Source organism: Homo sapiens, chromosome 2, assembly GCF_000001405.40.
Source record: "Homo sapiens chromosome 2, GRCh38.p14 Primary Assembly".
NCBI classification, from domain to species: domain Eukaryota; kingdom Metazoa; phylum Chordata; class Mammalia; order Primates; family Hominidae; genus Homo; species Homo sapiens.
In genome coordinates, this window is record NC_000002.12 from 160,367,491 (window position 1) to 160,390,102 (window position 22,612).

Consider the following 22,612-nt stretch of genomic DNA (forward strand, 5'->3'; position numbering starts at 1 on the left):
ACTTTGAGTTATAAATTTTAATTTACACTTTAAAAAAGGTCTGTTCATGCTACTTTAAAAAAGCCCTCTCCTTCAACATAAAATTGATAATAGGGTTTACTAAGTAAAAGTTCTCTATGTGCACCTTAAATGTGACTAAATTTATGTAACATTAATTTATTCACACATTTTTCAGGAACACATCTGAGACTCAAAACGTGCATGAAGTTAGATGATACCATCTTAATACACAGTAATTTAGAAATCACTAGACTTTTGAAAAGGTTTTCAAATTCTGAAGAACGTTTGATTGAAAGTTGCTTAAAATTTTATTAGGATGACTCTTAAAAAAAATTACTTCTCAAGTACAAGAAAGTTAGAGTTTAATCCAGATACTCCAATAAGGACGATCTCACCTAGTTCTAAGACAGGCACACGACTTCATTGAGACATCTGGGTAAGATTCCCAGGCAGGCTGCCTTTCGCTCTGGCTAACCTTGTGAAATTTAACCCCTGTGAGAATGGTGTCCAAGCTGGAAAACTTCCCAGCTTGCAGCACCCACCACAACTCAAAGTAAAGCCTGCAACCAAAGGACTCAGTGTGGTTTTACAGTCGGCAGCCACCTAGGAAGAATGTCTGAAATTGTACTCATACCAGATAATTCTCTGTGCACCGACTGAAAGAAACCACAGTTCTCTGACCCAGTGCCACACACATGACTTTGAGGAAGTTAAATGGCTCAGCTTGAGACAAAAGGGCACGTAACCCCAAGTGTCCTCACAGCAAACGCGCAGCAATTTCACACCAGGACAGGGACGTTTTTTCACCTCACATTTTCTAAATCATAAATATACTGTACTAACTCAAGGACATCACTCATGAACAGTTTGAACATCCAAAATTAAATAGTCACTAGACAGTCAAAAGGTTCAAATCTCATGGCTTGGTTTTTACCAGCACAAACAAGAAAGTCAGGCATGTCTATAGGAGACAAATCAAATCCCACAGTGGAAAGTTGGAGAAGCAGACCCCTTACAATAAGCATATCCTCATTTACCTTGTCACCAACCTCCGTTGCCCACTATAGATTCCTAGTTTTGTACCCAGCTTCTGCCATGGTCATCCTAATTCCATAATATCTCAACATATGGGGATCTCATTAATTTATTTTTATTTTTTATTATTTGAGATGGAGTCTCGCTCTGTCACCCAGGCTGGAGTGCAGTGGTGCAATCTCGGCTCACCGGAACCCTCCACCTCCCGGTTTCCAGTGATTCTCTTGCCTCAGCCTCCTGAGGAGCTGGGATTACAGACGCACAACACCATGCCTGGCTAATTTTTGTATTTTTAGTAGAGACAGGGTTTCACCATGTTGACCTGGCTGGTCTTGAACTCCAGACCTCAGGTGATCCGCTCAACTCGGTTTCCCAAAGTGCTGGGATTACAGGCATGAGCCATCGTGCCTGGCCCCATTAATTTAGATATGTTACCATTTTTTCTGGTCCTATATCCTTCAGATTCTTCCTTCCACTGCCCAGGTTCCTTGCTGAGATATCATCTGAGTCCAAACACCACTTTATTTAAAGAGATTCTCTTTTAGAAGGAGAGCAGCAAAGGGTCAATAATAGTCAATGCAGAAATGCTATTCACTGAAGGCTGAACTTGAACTGGGAACATCGGTATTGCTTAATCCCAAAATAAAAGCAGCCTGAGATCATATCCTACCAAATCTATTTGATTCATGCCCTTAATGAGCAGCTGAACTCATATCCTTTCTCCAAACCACTAGTTTTTCTCTAGGGGCTAACTACTTACTAGATATAAAACTAAGACCAAATTCTGACACTTGCTCTGCCACAGGTGGCACCTCAGAGCACTGGCCATGCCCCACAAAGCCTGTGCTCCTTCTCTGAAGCCACTGAGTTGCTACCTGCCATCCAGCCCTACTCTATTTTTCACATCAGTGAGAACAGAGGTGCTGGAAAGTAGCCCACACACCTGCCTCCTGTCCCAAGCCTTTGATTGACGCAGAGAACTTGTAGCTATTAGAACTAGACAGGACTGAATTTTCTCTTAAACCTCCTTTGATTAGTGTCTCAGAAACCATCCCTGACACAAGCCACACTGTTTTCACAGTAGGACCCAGTATGTTTAGCGTAGCTGTTGGGCGATGAAATGTGGTCATCTGGGATGAGACTTGGAGAAGTCAGTAAGAAGCTGTGGATCAGGCCCGCCCCTACCTCTTAGTGGGATTACATCAACACGAAGTAAATGAACCATCAGGCATTTTAAAGACTGCATTCCAAGACTGCATTCACTTGAACCTTTGATTTTGCCAGGAGTGGAAAGGGAGTGGCGGGCATGCACTTGTATAATTAAAGAAACATTTGGATGTATGACTTAGTTGGAGATTATTTAGACATGAAAGTAGTAGGTTTTTTTATTTATGTATTCATTTCTGGCCAAAATACAGCTATGATTTACATATCTGAATTTACAGAGCCAGTTTAATATAAATTTGATGGCCATCCATATTTACTGCAGTATTTTCCCAATGTGGGAAGCAGGTACAGCCTGTGCTTCCCTGCTTCCCCTGTTAAGTTTCCCCTGTGAGGGAATGAAATCTCCCAGCATCTGATCCCAGGCAGAAGAGGGTTCCTAAATGTACCCAATGAGGACTACTAGCCTCTGGTGAATCCTATACAGAACAAAGTTCAAATTCAAATTTTATTTCCAAATCAATTCTTTCTTGGGGCTAACTGAAGACAGAGAAAGAAAACTGAAAGAGAGAAGCGTTGAATTATTCTAGGTTGTCAATTTTTAATTTTCTGGTGCAGAAATTTTTAAACCCAAGATTACGTTTTTAGAAGTCACTGAAACTGGGCCGGGCGCAGTGGCTCACGCCTGTAATCCCAGCACTTTGGGAGGCCGAGGTGGGTGGATCACGGAGTCAGGAGTTCGAGACCAGCCTGGCCACCATGGTGAAACCCCGTCTCTACTAAAGATACAGACTCTGCTGAGTACTTTACATACATTACCATACTTAATTCAATCAGACAGGCAGGTAGGTTATTGTTCTCCCATTGTGCAGATTAGGAAACCGAGTCTCAAAAAAGGTTAGGCCATGTGCCAGGGCCACACATTTAGAAGGTGGCAGGGCTAGAATTTGAACGCAGGTCTGCTAGAAAACAAAGCCAGAGCAGAGCCTTCAAACAGTACTCTACGTGGGACCCCAAAACACTTTCTATGTCCTGAATGCTCTATTTGTATTCTTTCATTTTCTGTGCCCATCATTTTTGCTGACTAATTACCAAATTCCAGCTTCTCTGAAATTTGATACTTAATACCATTGGCAGATATGTTTTTTAAGAAAGTAAAAGGTGCCTTTAATGTTTTTTAAGAAAGTAAAAGGTGCCTTTAAGTTGACTTAATTAACACACAGTCTGTTAAGTATTAAAAAAACAAAGATTAGCTCTTAAAAAAATCAGTTTTAAAAATTCTACTTTATAAAAATCTTTTCATTAAAGAATAAATTCTACAAACAACTTCTGAAAGCTTCAGCATATTACTGCTAAACATTAGAGTCAACATTTTAGGATGACGTGACTTAAAACAGTGAAAAATTAAACCCTCATTCATAGATTAAAATGCAAATACTGACAAGCCTTTAATTACAGCTTCAGAACTCTGATAAATTTACAGCAATTACACTTTGCGTTAGATTAGGTGTCTTGGCAGCACAAATGATAAACAAATTTTTAAAAAGCTTACAAAGGGACAAAAAGGGACAATATTTTAGCCAGTTCCATTTTCATCACTGGTAGTCCTTCTACATTTTGCCTCTCAAAACCCGGAAGCTGCCTTGGAACGTGAAAAGACCCTCTATGGATGAAGCTTGCAACTATTTACACACATTCAATCTAATTAGGGGACCTGGTGGCTGGATAAGCATGCTAAGTGCCCACTCATCCCAAAAGAGCCTAGTAGTCTCTCAGCCTTCTCTAGCCTAATTTTTCCTGTTATCAGGTCAGGCAAACAAACTACATTCTTCTATCTCCAAGGGCAAAGAAAACAAGCTAATTCAATTTTCTTGATAATATTTATATGGGCTTAATTTGCATGCCAAAATGGATAGAAAACAAAGTCACTCGTGAATAAAGGGGTGGTTGTATTAGACCCTCAGCCTTTCCTGCACGAGTGGTTTGGCACCATCAGGAAGAGCGTTCATCAGCACTCAGAGAGAACTTCCCGTATGGACAGCACTCAGAGAGCACGTCCTGTGTGGGCAGCATTCAGGGAGGACTTCCTCTATGGATAGCAATCAGGGAGCACTTCCTGCATGGACAACACTGATGCCTCCTTCCCGCCAGAAGCCCCACTGGGCCTCCTACACTAAAAGGATCAACAACAGGCACAGGGCAACTATACACAGGGTAATACTATCTCCCTCTCTATCACATCACCCCCTATAGAGAAGAGAGAAATAGTCTCTCCTCTATGAATACAAATCTAAAGGTCATTTACAAAATTAACCACATGTGAACTAAAATACATTAGTAATCATGTACATTGTTATAGATTTCTATGCAGCAAAGATAATTTTAAAACAAAAACTTGTCATTTAAAATTCTATTGTCTCATTTCCTTCCTATTACTAATAGGCTAAAGAACAGTGCTCTGACCAATCTTATAGCTGAAGCTGTCCTCCTCTTCCCACCCCCACCTTACTTAGCCACTTCTCTAATAATTCTAGTACGTTTTGAAGGGAAAGGAAAGCTAGGACCTGCCCTTTAATTTTCTTCAAGTCTTCTTTAAAGTTTTCATCCTTATAGTTCAAGAAGGTTATCATTCCCACCCCTGTTGCCCCTACACCCACCACCACCACCACGACCACCACCACCACCATCCCAAACAGCAGGTTGGTTTAATACATCAACTATTTCCTTCATCCAGAAGCAAAATAATCACTACAGTTGCTCCTGAAAGCAGACAGAAGTTTACAGAACATTATCATTTTCACAGGGAAACAGTATAAGATCAAGCCTGAAATGAACTGAGTACTATGTGAAGACAATGTCTGCTACACTTATTTCCATACACCAGTTCCTCTCTGTATGCTTTCAAGATGTAAAAGGAATTTAACAATTTAAATAAATTATCAAAAAGGAATGAGGGGGGCCCCCACATGGGCCAGTTATCACTACAGTCAGAACATTTTCTTTGTTTCCTTTTGGCCATATGAGTGACTGAGAGAGGGCTGGGAATGGTGGCTGGAAAGAGAAGTTCTGGCACAGGGAACTGGAAAAACAAAACTAAATGTGGGAGGTGAACTGGAGAGGGGTGAGAAACTGGCCAGGAATCAGTTGCTCCTATGGATAGGTCAGAGAAGGAATGCCTGAGGCCAGGATGTTAAAAAACACATAGCTACTAGATTAATGAAGAGTAAGGCCCCTTTACACAGCCAGTGTGTCTCACTTATACATACCATGGAGTTAAGGAAATAATCAATTAATCCCATTTGATAACAAGGATATCAAAGCTTAAAATCACATAGCTAATTAGTTAATGAAACTGGTTCTCATATCTTCACTGTTCCTTGTTTGGAAAAAAACTTTGCAGCTTCTCAAGACTGTGAAACTGACCAATAGAGTATTAAATTTTTTTTTTGGCTGGATTAAGCCTGTCAAAGGAGAGGGGCCCATGTTACCTTCACTATTCCAATAAAACCTAAAAATAAAAATTCCCAATATGTTTCACAATTAATTCTCAAAGATATCCATCAAAGTTGATCCTTGCATGTAAAACTGCAATCTCCACATAGAAATCTCTTTACCTAAGTTCATGAATAAACCATCATTTTCTTATGCTTCAGATAAAAGAATTAAAGTTAAGACTTGCATTGTTGAATACAACATGACTGACTGAGATTTCCTTCCAGATCCCATCAAGACATTAGATTCCTTATCATTCAAGTATCTTTTAAGGGTTGGTTCTGTGCTCCTGAATGCTTATCAGCCCAATTGTTCTATTTCCTTCAAAAGTTCTTCTAAGAACTCCAGCGACTCGCCAAGTTGCCCACTGAGAACTCTGGGCCAGGAAACACACAAGAGTTTTTGTGCAATTTGTTCCATCTAGTTTTTGTAACAGCATTTATAAGGGGTATGGGTGTGTGAATATGAAGATACCAGACTGAAGACATTAAATTTAAATTAATCACCACAAAACTAGAGGGCCAAAAGAGAAAGTAAGGGGACTAAGGCAATGATTTCAAAATTTCCTTGCCAGAGAATGCATTCATCAGAAAGGAAAAGCTTTTAAGAGTGGGTTCCCAGCCTTAGCTACCCTTAATTGCATTGCTTATAATGGTGTAGTACAGTACAGTTTCTAAAAATAGAGTTCAACCAAGGGAAGATCAGGGAGGAGGGAGGATGAAAAGACAGGGGACAAAAAGGTTGAGGAAGGCTTCACAGAGGGGGTGGATGGCTGAGTGAGCTGAATACAAATGACATGTCATTAAGAATAAAAGGGGTGGTGGCTCATATCTGTAATCCCAGCACTTTGGGAGGCCAAGGTGGGAGGATCACTTGAGCCCAGGGGGTTGAGACCAACCTGAATAACATAGCAGGACCCTGACTCTACAAAAAAAATTTGGTGGCACACGCCTGTAGTCCCAGCTACTGAAAAGGCTGAGACAAGAGGATCACTTGAGCCCAGGTCAAGGCTGCAGTGAGCTGTGATTGTGCCACTGCACTCCAGCCTGGGTAACAGAGCGAGACCTTGTCTCAAAAACAAAAACAAACAAACAAACAAAAACAATAAAAGGAATGGCAAATCTGAAAGAAAGGTGGGTAGAGTAAGAAGAGGAGTGACCAACAAGGACATAGACTGGAAGGATCATTCTTCACAAAAGCCAGAGAATTACCCTGGTTGGTTCAGAGGAAGCTCCCACAAGTTGATGTTGGGGTAGGAGTGTGGTGGTACTAAAAAGGTAGTAGGAAGAACCTAAAAAGCAAGGTGGAATGTGGACATGATGTCACAGGTTACCAGAATCTCACATGTAGAAAAGAATTTAAACACAGTAAATGAAGAGCATGGCTTCTGGAGAATGCAAAACTAGAAAAACACTTCCCTTCCTTCTATAAAAATAATGTTTATAACAATAATAATAAAAAAAATTGGCTGGGCACGGTGGCTCATGCCTGTAATCCTAGTACTTTGGGAGGCCAAGGCAGGTGGATCACCTGAGGTCGGGAGTTCGAGACCAGCCTGACCAATATGGTGAAACCCTGTCTCTACTAAAAATGCAAAAATTAGCCAGGTGTGGTGGTGGGCGCCTGTCATCCCAGCTACTTGGGAGGCTGAGGCAGGAAAATCATCTGAACCCAGGAGGCAGAGGTTATAGTGAGCTGAGATTGCACCATTGCACTCCAGCCTGGGCAACAAGAGTGAAACTACATCTCGGGCGGGGGACGGTGGGGGGGAGGAATTGAACGGAAAAGTTAGAATATCCAGATTCAAGTTTTGTCCTGGCCAGGAGCAGGAATGAGTATTATCCCTGGAAGGCTCAGGTCTTCACGTGTGAAATAAGCAGGTTAGCCTGGATGATTTCTAAGCTTCCTTCCAGCTCCAAAATACTCTAAAATTCTGGATAGTGCTGGACAGTGCCATCTCCAGATAAGACATATCAAGACAGAGCCCAGTCAGGACCTTTAGTACTCTTGTCTGTCTGCCAAATAGAGAAATGGAGCAAGAGTTTGTTAAACTGGCAGACTCCAAGGCCAACTTCTGTGACATCGTGCAACTTAAGACCAACAGACATCATACTGCGGCACCATTTTCCTATGCCCCTTAGGCCAGCATGGATTCCCGACTTAGTCATAAGTGATTCTAAGAAAATATTCTAAATATGTAAGCTATCCTAAAACAACAACTGAAGCCTAAAGGAACAAATGTAAAACAAAAAACAATCTTAAAGAGCTCCTGAAACCAGAGTATCCTTAAGGTAGAAACAATATTACAGCTGAAATAACCATAGTAACTTAAGATCTATAGAGACTGTATGTTACTTAGCAGCCTGCCATCTTTGTGTTTCAACGTGTAATCAGTATAAAGAGTTACATTTCACATTCTATTCAATCTCTTCTATATAAAAGGACCCTGTAACAGCTCCAAAACCACTTTAAAAGAAAATTCAACACAATAAATAAATTACAGCCCAAACAAACAGTAATTAGAACGCAGTAAACACAAAATCCCACCCAACTTCAGGTGCAAAATTAATTATTCTTCTGAATTCTGAATGCAGGTGTGCAGTGTTTTCCTCCTCCTTGAATTTCCAGATCCATGCCAGTTTTCTTCCTCAACACAGAGCCTTGTGAAGGGGACAAGAGCAAACTCTTCCTTTACTTTTTACTCAAAATAAATGGAAAAAAAAAAAAAAAGAAAGAAAACTTCCTAGGGGAAGTGAAACATTACTTTTATCATGACAGTTCAGAATACCTCTGCAATGCATTTCCTGCCTCACCCCAGTAGATTTAGGATTCCAGGGCTGACAACTTCCTCCCAGCTGTTTTTTAAAGTCTATCTACAGTACAGTCTGTATCTTAGTATTTCTTGTAAGTAATGAATTACCGCTGAGATTGTAAAGTCCTCAGGGTGGAAAATACCCATTCAAAAACATACTTTCTCCACATTAAACAAACTTACTGAAAGTATTATTAGGTGATTAAATATTAAGTTAGAAAACTTATATGAGTAAGCTTATAAAAAAAATACTCCCACAAAACCAACTTATTTATTTATTCTTAGATCCAGCGGGACATGTGAATGACCTTGCAGTACCATGGGTTTCACAATTTAGCCCCTAGAGAAAAAAGCATTATCTGTACTTACAGGAAACTGAACAAGTATTTGCAATCTCCCCATAATAATAACTTAAAAACATAAAATCTTATCTGACAATGTTGTAATTTTGTGTATAAACATCACTGAGAAAATTTTTTGAATTAATATAACTCAACAATACTGTCTACTTTTGTTTCTTTCTCATGGTAAAATCTAGTAGCTTATATCTGATATGAATAATTAGAGAAAGTGAGTGATACTAGAACAGCTCTTCTATTATATATCAGTCTATGTATTTCTTTTTTTTATTTTTTAATTTATCTTATTTTATTTTTTTAAGAGACAGAGTCTCGCTCTGCCTCATGGGCTGGAATGCAGTAGTGCAATCATGGCTCACCACACCCTCAAACTCCTGGGCTCAAGTAATCCTCCTGTCACAGCCTCCCACGTAGCTGGGACAATAGGAGCATGCCATCGCGTCTGGCTAATCAAATAAATAAATAAATAAATAAATAAAAACTTTCTTTGTAGAGACTGGATCTTACTTTATTGCCTGTGTTGCCCAGGCTGCTCTTGAACTCAGCTTCAAGAGATCCTCCTGCCTCAGCCTTTCAAAGTGCTGGGACTACAGGCATGAGCCACTGGGCCTGGTCAATCTGTGTATTTCTGTGTCATGTTTGCGTGTGTGAACAGTCATGTTTGTGTGTGTGAATAAAGATAGAGGGGAAGAGATGGCTGTCTCTAAGCTATACTGCCTGAGAATGGGGCTTGCTGGGTTTTTTTTTTAACATTTTCGTCCAAGATCCACCTCAAAAGTTAACTTTTTGCCTGACCTCTCCATCCTATATACATAAATAGGCACAGACATATAAAACTGAAACGTAAGTTTTGTGAAACAATATTTTCCTTTACCAAATACAATGTACCCTAATGTTATCTTTCCTAGTATATTTCGTTAAAAGAAATAAACGCTGGTTGTAACCCACTGAACTGATACTTCCCACTAATATTGCCACCTACAGGTTAAAAAACAGTGGTCAGCAGCGTTTCTCAAACTGATGTGCACGTGAAGCACCTGCACTGTTAAAATGCAGATTTTGACTCAGCCATTTGGGGTGGGGTCAAGTTTCTGCATTTCTAACACAAGCTTCCAGGTTTTGCTCATGCACAAGGCAGGACTCCTGGTCTGTGTGAATGAATTTGGGAAGGGCCCCCTTCCAGCTTTAAGGAGGAGCAAGCTGCATCTATTCACACAGTGAGATAAAAACCTTTGTTCCACTGATTTCAAACCCAGTATCTGCTCAGAATAACAAAATGCTAGAGCTGGGAGGGGTATGAGGGATCATAAGAGCCAATAATTATCCACTAGAAGTATAAGGAAATCTTGGGAGATGGCAGGAGGGGAAGCAGAGGTGGGGACATACTTGAATTTTTGGCAAAGGGAGCTTGGCTTTGAAAATGCTGAGAAACACTGATGTAATGCAACCCCTCACTTTTCAGGAAACCTGAGGCCAGGAGAAGTCAAACCACATATCCAAGGCCATACAGCTAATCAGAGGGAGAACTGGGCTTCCAGTCCCGACACTGCTGTCATAAAGCACCAGTCCTTGTTTGTTACGAGGATTGCAGCAAAGATGATGGTACAGGCCAAATTTTATTAATGAGTTTTTAAAAACTGAGTAAAATTGATATGCTAGACCTGTTAAGACAGCAGACAAAAATTATTTTGTGCAGCCTCTTTTATACCTCAGATTTTATCCACTGTCAACTTCTAGATCACTTACTTAGATGTCCAGGTCTATGCTAGATATCCAGTTGCTTGCTTTAAAGAAAAAAAAAAAAGGAAACACACCTATGAAATTGATAATTTAAAGCTCCCAAAAAATGCTCGTGAATGCCACCCATTTCTATTTTTGTATTTATTTATATTAAGAATTTTTGAGTAGCATACAAGATCATTATCTGTACCATTTACAAGAAGATACAAAAATCAAACAGGTTAATTAAAGCAGTTTGGAGACTGGATGCAGTGGCTCACGCCTGCATCCCAACACTTTGGGAAGCCAAGGCAGGTGATCACTTGAGCCCAGGAATTCAAGATCAGCCTGGGCAACATAGCAAAATCCCATTTATACAAAAAGGAAAAAAAAATTAGCTGGGTGTGGTGGTTCACACCTGTGTCCAACTACTGGGGAAGCTGAGGTGGGACGATCACTTGAGCCGGGAGGTCAAGGCTGCACTGAGCTGAGATCATGCCACTGCTCTGCTCTTCAGCCTGGGCACCAAAGTAAGACTCTATCTATAAAAAAAAAAAAAAAGCACTTTGATGCTTTTCTGTCATAAGAGTACACTCAGAGTCAACTACCAATTTAACCGGCTTGAATTAGGAACCCTTAAAGAATCACTAGAATTGCCTACCCATGGTCATGTCTCCCTATATATGTCACAAATTCATACACTCAAAACAAGTTACTTCATACTCTGTTTCTTTAAAAATAAAATGGAGAGATTTGTAAGATTGTTTTATTTTGTGAACTCCACTGTTTGCTTCTTCCTAAAGCTTCACAAAGCATATACTTAGATAAATTCTCTAAAACAAACTGGTTTTCCTTCAGTTAATGTGGGCCGGACGTGGTGGCTCATGCCTATAATCCCAGCACTTTGGGAGGCAGAGATGGGCAGACTGTTTGAGATCAGGAGTTCAAAACCAGCATGGGCAACATGGCAAAACCCTATCTCTACAAAAACACAAAAATCAGCTGGGCATGGTGGTGCATGCCTGTAGTCCCAGCTACTCTGGTGGCTGTGGCCAGAGGATCACTTGAGCCCAGTTGGCAGAGGTTGCAGTGATCAGAGTGTGCACCATTGCACCCCAGCTTGGGGGGCAATAGAGGAAGAACCTGTCTTAAAAAAAAAAAAAAAAGTTAATGTGAACCTTGCTTCCAGCAGCCCACCATTATACTCTGAAGGGCTGTTTCTAATTTGACCTAAGCATTTTCCCATTTTTACAGGGACAAAGTTTATTTCAGGTGAAATTTCTATTTAATGATACTGCATATTTGGACTGAGTATCTACTGCTAACAACAGCCCTGAGACTTTCCTCTGTTTTATGGAGTCAGCCCATGCACTATTGTCTAATCACTTTAGTGGTGATGGTATCAACCTGGGAATACATAGGTGCCCTGGGAGCTAACCAAACCAAATGCTGGCAAGCCTCATTCCTCTCTTCATCTCTTCTGAAGCAGATAAATTGAAGTAGAACGTCATTCTGTGGTAAGCAGGATCTGGGAAATGCTTTCAATGTTTACAGAAATCGGATGCAACATTTTTTCTTTTCGTTTTAAAATTATTTCACAATATTCTATTTGGAGTAGGAAGTTATTGCTCAACAAGAAAAAAAGTGAAGATATTAGTCTTTCTCTGCACCTTTTTACTTTTCTGTTGCTAAAGCTAATCATAAAGCATCATTTCATCTCTTTTACCAAAATGTGCACATTGCTAGTTATTGAAAATGTCAAAGAAAATTTCTTTTCCAAAGAACCTCGGACAACATAAAGTTCTGGCCTCTAGAACAGAGACCCAGGACCTCTGTGTGTTTGGGGGCTGGGTGTGGAGATCAGTGGGCAACACAGAACTCAGTTCCTACACTTGAGTTTTCTGATCCTTCTCTTCTTTCATGATATTTAGTTTCATTATAAATCTTTTTTCTTTGCTGTGCATGATCAAACATGCAATCTTTCATTTTCCATTGTTATCCCAGATTAAACTAATTAGTGACGAGTACCCAAAATGAGTTTTGTAAATCTCAGCCTTTCTAAATGCACAAAATAAGAAAATGACACCATCTCTCCTCACTCACCACAGAGAAACACATTTATGAAGAAAATGATGCCTAAGTGGAAACTGGCTTCAGGAGCCTCACACTCAATGACTAGTGACGGGGAGCAGCTCTCTGCCCACCCCCACCTAAGCCAAAGCCACCAGTGGGCTTTCCAGAACAGGAAAGGGAAAAACAGACTAGAGCCCAAACATGGAGAAACACTATGGTGGACCCCTGCCCAGAGGACAGGGCAGACAGGAACAGCATTCTAGGTGTGGCCTGCAGCTACGCCAGGACCTCAAAGCGAAGTAAACAGAAAAAAGCAGTAGCATGGAAACTTCAGAGCGCCCCGTACGATATCAAATCATTTTGCTAAAAAAGAAAAAATGCAGGAAGAGGATACACAAACAGTTTTAAAATTTATATTTCTTTAAAAAGACAACTTCACATATTCCTAAAATTCAAGTCTTCGGATCTAACAGTTTAAATCTTAGAGCAGAGCAAAAAGAATGCATTAAGAGAAATGGTGGTTTGTTGTTGTTGTTGTTTTGTTTCTGGTAAAGATCGGAACCAAGCATGATAACTTCTAGTATGGAAAACAATTTAGGAAGGAATAGACAAGCTTCCTTTTCTCCACTGCGGCCAGGAAGCTGGGGAAGTCCACCCACACCCTCGTGGCAGGGAACGGTGGCAGCCACTCTGCTCTTCCCCGCAACCCAGTAGTTGCTCCAGTTACATAAAAATTGCTCAAATTAAAACATCATCCTACCTTTAGAAGAACTTCCATCACAAAGCAAATTAAATGAAGATAAAAATCTGCAGGACAGTTTAATCCTGCCTGGATATGTTTTTTTAAATTAATATATAAATTGTAAATATTGCAGTGAGAACTTATCCATAAAATCCTGGAGAGGTTATCTCATTCTGCTCTCCCCAGGAATACATGTAGAAACTTGGTCTGCCTTATAGACTCTAACTAACTTCATCTCTGTTCTCCCTAATTGCAAAATTCAATCTTCCCTTACAATAATAGCTCATATGCAAATCCTGGATAGCAGTCATCCTAGAAATAGATAAAACACTGGGAACAATGTTTTCCCTTAATAGGGGGATAGGTTTAGCTCTCTTTTTACCCATTTTAGTAAAATGGGTAAAAATGGATCTATAATATTTTATCTTTTTGTTACTATCAAAATAACCTAGGCAGTCCTTAAAAATAGTTTAATAAGCAAAAACTAAAGAGGAAAAACCCAAAGCATGACAATTTCTGGAAAATATTTTTTCCCCAGAGAACTAAGTGTTACGCATAATACTAATTGCTAACATTATTGAGCATTTACTCTGTTTTTGGCATCAAGCTAAATGCATTCTTCATTCAGTTTACAGATAAGAGAACAGAAAAGGGAGTTCCCCAAGGTCACCGAGGAGGTAGCAGTCAGGTTGTGAAAGATCAGTCGACAACCTCTTCAGGAGCTGAGTGGAAGAGAAAATGGGAGTGAAGGAGGCATATGCCATTCAGTTTCACCATACTGGGGGCTTTGTTTGATAGAGAACTACTCTATGAGGCTTTTAGAGAAACTGACCTTTGCTACGAATGGTATATCTATGTCATGGTTACTAAACATCTTCCAATAAAACATAACCAAAAGGTTTGGCTCAAGAAACTGGTTGCAAAACAGTACAACTGAGTGACACGGCCTTCCTTCCTTCCTCTAATACCAACAGCACAGCATTACTGTGAAGGATTATTGCTAGAAAACATTCAGGAAACCTGCTTTCCTTTAGATCCCAATATATGATATTTCAACTCAACAAAAAGTCAGTACTTTCTAAATGGTGTTTCTACATTTGGATTAAAGAACAAATCTCCCCTACCAGCCTGTCAACCCCTGCAGGATAAGGGACCAGGCCCTGCCTAGTAATCCCACCCTATGTCTTAGAGCCTGGACTAAGCTTTATGTGTTTGGTGAAGGAACATAGATTAACATTATGTTAGAAACCATGAAGCTGCTGCAGTGATTAAAATGTTATATGTTGAACACCTCCAGCGTATAAGGAGGTGGGTGAAGTTGGCAAGGGCTAGATGGTGGTGGAACCTAAGTATCTTAGAAAGGAGTCTGAAATCTGGGGAGAAATGCATTAATCATATCATTTTCCTCACTGAAACAGAATCTTTCACTTGAAATTTATTATATTTCCTCTCCAGACTAAAGCATCTCCAGAACAATTTCCCAACTCCATGACAGGTGGACTTTTAAAATTCCTAGTTTAGATTTCAAAACACCAGGGACAGTAGACAAATTATGACTGATAGCAAGAATTATAATTCAGAAAAAAATTTGAGTCCTAATAATCTTATTACCTTTGCATACATGGGGTATATGGGTATCTGTCTTTTCAAAACAGATTAATCAGAATTACTATAAACCTTCAAGAAGATGTAATCACTTTGGGATCCTCCTGCCTTTGGTAATGGCCACATCTGGTCAGGCAGTTGTTATTCATTCTTTCCAGGATTTGCTTTATTAGACTTTCAACTGAAAAATGACACCTTCACTCCAATCCTTCTAATTGATTTTTAACCTTAGAGAAGTGTGAGAGAGTTCGTTAGAGGACTAACTTGTTAATAGAGTCATCTGGGTGGTTTGATAAAATTCTTTCAGAAGAATCACAACACTCCCACCCCACAACACTAACGTAGTTTACTTAATTTTTTTTTTTTTAAAAAGCTACTCCTTAAAATGCATTTCATCTCTTTAAAACATTCAGTTCACATGTAGAGCCATCCTAATACAATTTAAATGTGATTGGCTCCTGTCAGGAAACGTAAAATGTACGATTTATACAGTAACTACAACACTGTACATGGACATGAACCTATTCCAAAATTTAAGATGAAATATCAATGGAGAGAGTGGAAAGTGGCTGTTAGTTTCCAAGGGATGCTGTAACCAATTACTACGAACTGGGTAGATTAAAACAACAGAAATGCATTCTCTCCCAATTCAGGAAAACAGAAGTCTGCAATTAGGGTGTTAGCAGGTTAACATTCCCCCTGAAAGCTGTAAGGGAGAAGCCTTCCTTGCCTCTTCCAGTAGCGACTCCTGCTGTTCCTTGCCTTGTGACGGCAGAATACCAATATCAACCTCCATCTTCACGTGGCCTTCTCTCTGCATCCTATCCTCTTCTTGAAAGGACACCAGTCAATGGTCACTGGTCATCTCAAGATCCTTAATTAATTCTACCTGTAATTAATTAATTACAACCACCCTATTTCCAAATAAGGTTACATTCTGGGGTTCTGGTTAGACATGAATTGGGGGGGGGGGAACTGACCCACTACAGTGGCTTTCTCTAAAGGACTATTTTATTTTTAAAAAATAGACAAATAATAAGTATACAAAATGATGGAGTACTTAGTGATGTTTCAGTACATACAATGTGTAGTAATCAGATCAGGGTAATTAGCATATCTATCATCTCAAACCTCTATCATTTATTTGTGTTATGAATATTCAATATCCTCCTTCTAGCTATTTGAAACTATACATTATTGTTAACTATAGTCATTCTATGGTGGTATAGCGAGCTATGTAATCAGAGCACATACAGAGAATTATTTTACAGAAGCAGCCACTACGTTGTAATACCAATGAGTTCTTTAACCATATTTAGATCCAGATAACAACTAATAGGTCATCTTGTCCAGTCTCATATCCAAAGTAGGAATTTTCTTTAAGGCATAGAGATTGGGGATGGAGTAAATAAATAAAAACTTAAGGTCGGGTGCAGTGGCTCACGCCTGTAATCCCAGCACTTTGGGAGACCGAGGCAGGCAGATCACAAGGTCAGGAGATCGAGACCATCCTGGCTAACACAGTGAAACCCCGTCTCTACTAAAAATACAAAAAATTAGCCAGGCGTGGTGGCAGGTGCCTGTAGTCCCAGCTACTAGGGAGGCTGAGGCAGGAGAATGGTGTGAACCTGGGAGGCGGAGCTTGCAGTGAGCCAAGATCGTGCCACCGCACTCCAGCCTGGGCGAGGGAGCGAGACTCTGTCTCAAAATAAATAAATAAATAAATAAAAACTTTAAATGTCATTTTTTAAATGAAAAAAAATTGAATTTTCTTTATGGCATAGAATTTTACCTATAGCATAGAGATTTGGGGTGGGGGTAAATTTAAGAAATTTAAAATGTCATTAGAAAACAGCAGATGTCCCAATTTATTTCTAAAACATTTCTAACTGCTACAACATAGAACAAGTCTAGTCTCCCCTTCTTTTAACCAACTTTAAATCTTTAGTGATAACTATTATCCCCCAATAATATTCCTCTAAACCTCAAAACAAACAATAACCAAACAATTTCTTTGGCTTGGGCAACTTCTAAGGAGGCAGTACAGCAATTAGGAATGAAAGGATGGATTCTGAAATTACAGTTCATATCCCACCATGGTCACTCACTAACTAGGTGACCTTGGGCAAAGCATTTAAAGCTTCCAAGTCTCATCTCTTCATCTGTACAGTGAGGAGGAGGATACCATCTATTCCATACTAGCTCGCAGTGTTGTTGTAAAGATTACACAAGCTAATTAATAAACTGTCGGGCTTGTAAGAAGTGCTCAGTAACTGCTACCTACACTTGAGTCCATCTTTCTCAATGTCTGATATGGTTTAGATTTGTGTCCCTCCAAATCTCACACTGAAATGTGATCCCCACTGTTGAAGGTGGGACCTGGTGGGGGGTTTGAATCATGTGGCAGATCCCTCATGAGTGGCTTAACACCATCCCCTGGTGATGAGTGAGTTCTCACTCTGAGATCCGGTTGTTTAAAAGTGTGTGGCCTTTCCCTCTCTCTCTCTTGCTCCCTCTCTTGCCATGTGACACATCTGCTCCCACTCTGTCTTCTGCCATGACTGTAAGCTCTCTGAGGCCTGACTTGAAGCCAAGCAGATGGTGGTGCCATGCCTCCTGTACAGCCTGCAGAACCATGTGCCAATTAGATCTCTTTCTTTATAAACTACCCAGCCTTGGATATTTCTTTATAGAACCACCAACAGACTAACACAATGTTCATCTCTAAATTTTATTTCCTGATATCCAGGAGGGCTCCGCCGAGGGCACACATGACCAGTTCTAACCTTAAAATCAGCCTATACATATAAAGAGCTTCTCGATCCCCCTCGTCCTACTCAGGGGCTTGGAGGCTTCTTTGCACAGCCTCATAAAAAAATAAATAAATAAAAAATAAAAAAGAGAGAGAGAAAGCTAACTAAAACAACAACAACAAAAACCCCTAGGTTCAAAAGTAACAGGCAGGTGAAGCTGGGAGAGCCACTTCCCCAGAAGAGGTCCCTGGAAGGCCTGGCCTGTTCCAGACTGTCATTGTTCTGGGATTTTGTCACTTGAGATTGTTTTATCATCTGAAACTCTAAAGAGAGAGGCATTTGGGTCAGGGCCCCACTTTAAAATCTCAAAACTTCCAGGATGTGACGTGATGAAATGCTCATCACTTAGGACAACTGAGAAGAGCATCAGGAAGGGAATGTAGAGATGCCCACGTGTTCTGTTCGGGGTGCCTCCCTTTTATTATTCTCAAGCTTCACAGAGAGAAGAGAATGCAAAAGATCATCCCATCTACATTTTTTGGTAAGATTATTAGATGCAAGGAAGATACTCTTCCTCTATCTATGTACCACATGACAAACCTGCGCTCACAAGAGACTCAGAATGGATGCTGGCTATATTGGTTCGAAACGTCCACTGAAAGGCTGGGTTTCTGTGGTAACCTGGGAAACCTAGGAACCTGGCTTCCAAACATGGTATAATGTTTCTACACACAAAAACATGTGTTCTGACTTCAAAAAGCCAAACTGAAAGAACTTCTGAACTAGAATTTATTTGTCTAGGTAGTATGATGATTTCATTTCTTAATCAAAATATCATAATTTTATTAATATAGGTAAAACTATGCTAAGGGCGTAAGCAGCTAAATTAATTTGTTGGCTAATACTCATTTATAGTCAAACCAAATACTTTGAATTGAATGTTTATGTCCTCCTAAAGTTCATTTGTTGAAATCCTAACCCCTAATGTAATAGTATAGAAGGTGGGGCCTTGGCCAGGCACAGTGGCTCACGCCTGTAATCCCAACACTTTGGGAGGCTGAGGCAGGTGGATCACGAGGTCAAGAGTTCGAGACCAGCCTGACCAACACAGTGAAACACCGTCTTTACTAAAAATACAAAACTTAGCCAGGCATGGTGGCGCGTGCCTGTAATCCCAGCTATTCAGGAGGTTGAGGCAGGAGAATCACTTGAACCCAGGAGGCGGAGGTTGCAGTGCTGAGAGCTGAGATCGTGCTATTGCACTCCAGCCTGGGAGACAGAGTGAGACTCCATCTCAAAAAAAAAAAAAAAGATGTGGCCTTTGGAAGGTGATTTAGGTCATAAAGATGGAGCCCTCATGAATAGGATTACTGCCCTTATAAAAACATACCCCAGAGAACCCTATGGCTCTCTCTGCCACATGAAAATACAGCAGTCAGCAGTCTACCACCCAGAAGAGAGCCCTCACCAGAACCCGATCATGTTGGCACCCTGATCTCAGACTTCCAGCCTCCAGAACTGTGACAAATAGATTTCTGTTGTTGATAAGCCACCTAGTCTACTTTGTTAGAGCGGCCTGAACTAAGACATCAACCATTCAGGTCTTTTTATACACCTAGTCATACTAGAATTCCCTCAGTATTTTTCACAGAAATGCAGGATTTTATGATTATTTATTCCTATTACAAACGTGGGCTTACCTTCCAGTGTGCCGCTTTCTGGAAGCTACTGTTATTTTGTGTACATCACCACTCCTCCTAGCTAGGTGTCAGCTGAAGAACTGGGAAGCATGTTTTCTACATGGTGTACAAGTTGCTGCTTTCAACCAATTTGATCACAGGACACTGTCTGTTTATCAAATTCTAAGACTGTCCCCACCCCTTGATATTCCTGGCTGCTTTCCCCTCTAGCTGTTCAATAGCCCTATATATGGTTGTCAGTATAGAAGTTAAAAATTTCAAAATGTTATTAGCTGCAGCAGCTGGGGATGCGGTGATGCTAGTAAATGGGAAAAGACTGAGGCAAGTGAGATTACATTACAGTATCTAGTCTTTTTATTTTAATGATTTTTTTTTTTTGCAGTCTTCCCTTAGGAGGGATGAATAAGAATTGGGTAAATCTCCACATTTTAGCAAGAGCTTTTAATCACTAAATGTTTTTTCCTAAAGGTAGCATTAACTGGCAGGTTTTAGGGATGGTGCCTGAACAAGCAGAGGCAGGGAGAGGAGCCACGTCGTGGTCTGGGTGCCTCTCTGATTAGACAGCTGACCAGTTTCAGGGGAGGAAGGGGTTTCTGCAATGGCACAAGCCCTGGAACATTTTCTGTCTGTGCTGCAAATGACAGTCTTTCCTACTCTGTGTACAGCAGAGAGGGTGAGGAAAAGGGTCAACAAAAAGAAAGAAAATGGAAACTCATTCTCATTGCTCACAGTATTTGGGCTCAATATATGCTCAGGAATCTCTCCTTTTTGTGACAGCCTCCCCCACAAAACACACAGATCCTCCCACCCCATAATGTGCAAATGCATACACTGCCACCCCATCAGGCAGTTACTTTAAAAATTATATGGCAGACATTAGACAGGAAAAAAAAAAAGAAAAGAAAAAGCTTTTCCTTATCCTAGATTTCAGAGAGCTTCATCTGAACCCAGAGGTTTATGCCTGGCCCTGGCATCTTAGCTGGCTCAGCATGTCCACAGGCTGACCTCTGAAACTATTTCCAGTGTCCTAGAGGAACTCAGAATGGCTCTCATGCATCAGTCCAGCTGCTCCGGTACTACAGCCAAACAGGGTTCCAACTAACATGTGCTGTTAGCTTTTCTGACGTCAATCCTAAGCAAAGTATCCCAATTTTTCTTTGGACTCAATTTTAACTCAGTTACTCATAAGACTGTCATTCTCTTATTTGGCACCCATTTACATTTCCTGCCTGCATCACCCCAGACTTAAAAGATCACTGCTTTAGAAGACAGTTCATTTCTCATCACTGAAAGGTTCAAACACACAGAGCAACCGCTCTTTGAGGAATAATTCACCCAGTGGTCCTTAGCCTTCAGTGAGATTCCAGGTAACCCAGATAGCCTAAAATGCCCCCCACATTGTTTTTGCCGGCGACAGAGGGACCCAATGGTTTACATTTTTAATGAGCACCCCAAGAGTTTCTGATGCAGGTGGTACGGTGAGGGGTAAAACCAAGACAGCAAGTCTTTGAAATTCAGAGACCCAGTGCCCCTGCTAAGCTGGAAGGGCTACTCCACGGGATTCCACAGCTAATCGGAATCTTCTGGGCACTCTAGCTCTGGGTCCGTGTCACTCCCAAAGCAGCCCCATCTTGTCCCTTGCTCCACACAGAGTCCACCTTTCAACTCTTCCAAATGACACTTGACTTGTCACTCCCCAGCAGGAAAAGGCGTCTCCTGGTTCTAAAACTGCCTGCTCTCTGCCCGCACCCTTCAGATCCTCTTTTGTGTCAGCTGAGCCAAGCAATTTCCGGTTCCCTGAACTGACACTTCTAACCAACCCTCCCTGCGATGCGAGAGGTTTTCATGGCTCCTCTAATTGACATGTAGGGAGTTCCTAGGTTAACAGGTCTACAAACTTTATTGGGATAAACAAATTGCTGGGATGAATCCCCCTGGGGGGAGGCCTTCCACAGCATACACCCACACAGTGACAGGCCAGATCTTTCTGTTCCTATTCAGGCATAGAGTAATTTCCACATGTGCTCATCTCACAAACTGTCTCCATCCTTACTTTAGTTGACGTGATTGTTTGTGGCAAAAATTTCAGAAAACAGCTGTCCTGGTCAACCCAACGACCTCATTTTAATCAGAAAGGGTGGAGCACCTCTAGGCGCATCCCTGACACAGAGCACTGTCACACACTGACAATTCTTGCTGAGATAATGACCGATAAGTATACCTAACTTCACACCCTGGATGTGTTCTGGAAAAATTTGATATGAGCAAATCCATGTTTTAAATGTGATGAGGAAACACAATTTTTAAAGAAAGCCTGAGAAAAATACCAGAAAATGCTGTGCCCTGCAAAATATGCATGAAATACATAAATGCTATTGTTACAAAGAGAGGTTCCAGTGCTCAAAGATATTAAACAATCTAGCTGGTAATGATAAACATACCTAAACAAAAGCTTAAAAAACAACTCAGCAGGATGGGCGTGGTGGCTCATGCCTGTAATGCCAGCACTTCGGGAGGCCAAGGCAGGTGGATCACCTGAGGTCAGGAGTTCAAAACCAGCCTAGCCAACATGGCAAAACCCCATCTCTACTAAAAATACAAAAATTAGCCAGGCGGGGTGGCGCACACCTGTAGTCCCAGCTACTCAGGAGGCTGAGGCAGGAGAATCGCTTGAACCCAGGAGGTGGAGGTTGCAGTGAGCCAAGTTTGCACCACTGCATTCCAGCCTAGGCAACAGAGCAAGACTCTTGTCTCAAAAAAAAAAAAAAAAAAAAAAAAAAAAAAGGCAAAAAACCCTCAGTAATTAACCAACAATCACATAATGAGGAATCCTTTTATAATGAAAATTACTAGTTTTTTTTTTTTTTCAATCAATCCATCTAAGATGTGTCCCCTGTATTCTGGTGGGGAGGGGAGGAGAGGAAAATTTTACCAAAAACCTGAAGGTTGAGAAAAACTAAAGAGAGGCCCCTCTAATAAAACATATGTACATCTTTAAATTCTTACATAAGACTCAAGAAACTTAAGTTTTAATGCTACTTCATATTCTTACAGAATTGCAGCTCTGTAATAGCTTTCAAAACAATCTTACAAATGGGCAAGAATATTACAAGAACTCACTCCCATTCCCTAGAGGTAACCTGATACCTTAATGGGTA

The 22,612-nt window shown here is 40.7% G+C and overlaps 1 protein-coding gene across 3 annotated transcripts in view; it reads right to left on the reverse strand.

Annotated features, from left to right (window-relative positions):
- Positions 1–22,612, reverse strand: part of RBMS1 (RNA binding motif single stranded interacting protein 1) — a 221,657-nt gene that overhangs the window by 95,340 nt on the left and 103,705 nt on the right. The window lies entirely within an intron of this gene.